This window comes from Homo sapiens, chromosome 5 (genome assembly GCF_000001405.40).
Source record: "Homo sapiens chromosome 5, GRCh38.p14 Primary Assembly".
NCBI classification, from domain to species: domain Eukaryota; kingdom Metazoa; phylum Chordata; class Mammalia; order Primates; family Hominidae; genus Homo; species Homo sapiens.
Window position 1 is genome coordinate 110,936,549 of NC_000005.10, and position 3,025 is coordinate 110,939,573.

A 3,025-nucleotide genomic window follows, 5' to 3' on the forward strand; every position below is an offset into this window, starting at 1 on the left:
GATCAATGAGGCAGAAAGTTTACAAGGATATCCAGGAATTGAACTCAGCTCTGCACCAAGCAGACCTAATAGACATCTACAGAACTCTCCACCCCAAATCAACAGAATATACATTCTTTTCAGCACCACACCACAGTTATTCCAAAATTGACCACATTGTTGGAAGTAAAGCACTCCTCAGCAAATGTAAAAGAACAGAAATTATAACAAACTGTCTCTCAGACCACAGTGTAATCAAACTAGAACTCAGGATTAAGAAACTCACTCAAAACCACTCAACTACATGGAAACTGAACAACCTGCTCCTGAATGACTACTGGGTACATAACGAAATGAAGGCAGAAATAAAGATGTTCTTTGAAACCAACGAGAACAAAGACACAACATACCAGAATCTCTGGGACACATTCAAAGCAGTGTGTAGAGGGAAATTTATAGCAATAAATGCCCACAAGAGGAAGCAGGAAAGATCTAAAATTGACACCCTAACATCACAATTAAAAGAACTAGAGAAGCAAGAGCAAACACATTCAAAAGCTAGCAGAAGGCAAGAAATAACTAAGAGCAGAGCAGAACTGAAGGAAATAGAGACACAAAAAAACCCTTCAAAAAATCCATGAATCCAGGAGCTGGTTTTTTGAAAGGATGAACAAAATAGATAGACTGCTAGCAAGACTAATAAAGAAGAAAAGAGAGAAGAATCAAATAGACACAATAAAAAATGATAAAGGGGATATCACCACTGATCCCACAGAAATACAAACTACCATCAGAGAATACTGTAAACACCTCTATGCAAATAAACTAGAAAATCTAGAAGAAATGGATAAATTCCTCAACACATACACCCTCCCAAGACTAAACCAGGAAGAATTTGAATCTCTGAATAGACCAATAACAGGCTCTGAAATTGAGGCAAATAATTAATAGCTTACCAACTAAAAAAAGGCCAGGACCAGATGGATTCACAGCCAAATTCTACCAGAGGTACAAAGAGGAGCTGGTACCATTCCTTCTGAAACTATTTCAATCAATAGAAAAAGAGGGAATCCTCCCTAACTCATTTTATGAGGCCAGCATCATCCTGATACCAAAGCCTGGCAGAGACACAACAAAAAAAGAGAATTTTAGACCAACATCCCTGGTGAACATTCATGCAAAAATCCTCAATAAAATACTGGCAAACCGAATCTGGCAGCACATCAAAAAGCCTATCCACCATGATCAAGTGGGCTTCATCCGTGGGATGCAAGGCTGGTTCAACATACACAAATCAATAAATGTAATCCAGCATATAAACAGAACCAAAGACAAAAACCACATGGTTATCTCAATAGATGCAGAAAAGGCCTCTGGCAAAATTCAACAACCCTTCATGCTAAAAATTGTCAATAAATTAGGTATTGATGGGACGTATCTCAAAATAATAAGAGCTATCTATGACAAACCCACAGCCAATATCATACTGAATGGGCAAAAACTGGAAGCATTCCCTTTGAAAACTGGCACGAGACAGGGATGCCCTCTCTCACCACTCCTATTCAACATAGTGTTGGAAGTTCTAGCCAGAGCAATCAGGCAGGAGAAGGAAATAAAGGGTATTCAATTAGGAAAAGAGGAAGTCAAATTGTCCCTGTTTGCAGATGACATGACTGTATATCTAGAAAACCCCATTGTCTCAGCCCAAAATCTCCTTAAGCTGGTAAGCAACTTCAGCAAAGTCTCAGGATACAAAATCAATGTGCAAAAATCACAAGCATTCTTATACACCAATAACAGAACAGAGAGCCAAATCATGAGTGAAATCCCATTCACAATTGCTTCAAAGAGAATAAAATACCTAGGAATCCAACTTACAAGGGATGTGAAGGACCTCTTCAAGGAGAACTACAAACCACTGCTCAATGAAATAAAAGAGGATACAAACAAATGGAAGAACATTCCATGCTCATGGGTAGGAAGAATCAATATCATGAAAATGGCCACACTGCCCAAGGTAATTTATAGATTCAATGTCATTCCCATTAAGCTACCAATGACTTTCTTCACAGAATGGAAAAAACTACTTTAAAGTTCATACGGAACCAAAAAAGAGCCCGCATTGCCAAGTCAATCCTAAGCCAAAAGAACAAAGCCGGAGGCATCATGCTACCTGACTTCAACCCATACTACAAGGCTACAGTAACCGAAACAGCATGGTACTGGTACCAAAACAGAGATATAGACCAATGAAACAGAACAGAGTACTCAGAAATAATGCCGCATATCTACAACCATCTGATCTTTGACAAACCTGACAAAAACAAGCACTGGGGAAAGGATTCCCTATTTAATAAATGGTGCTGGCAAAACTGGCTAGCCATATGTAGAAAGCTGAAACTGGATCCCTTCCTTACACCTTATACAAAAATTAATTCAAGATGGATTAAAGACTTAAATGTTAGACCTAAAACCATAAAAACCCTCGAAGAAAACCTAGGCAATACCATTCAGGACATAGGCATGCGCAAGGACTTCGTGTCTAAAACACCAAAAGTAATGGCAATAAAAGCCAAAATTGACAAATGGGATCTAATTAAACTAAAGAGCTTCTGCACAGCAAAAGAAACTACCATCAGAGTGAACAGGCAACCTACAGAATGGGAGAAAGTTTTTGCAACCTACTCATCTGACAAAGGGCTAATATCCAGAATCTACAATGAACTCAAACAAATTTACAAGAAAAAAAACTAACAACCCCATCAAAAAGTGGGCAAAGGACATGAACAGACACTTCTCAAAAGAAGACATTTATGCAGCCAAAAAACACATGAAGAAATGCTCATCATCACTGGCCATCAGAGAAATGCAAATCAAAACCACAATGAGATACCATCTCCCACCAGTTAGAATGGCAATCACTAAAAAGTCAGGAAACAACAGGTCCTGGAGAAATAGGAACACTTTTACACTGTTGGTGGGACTGTAAACTAGTTCAACCATTGTGGAAGTCAGCATGGCGATTCCTCAGAGATCTAGAGCTAGA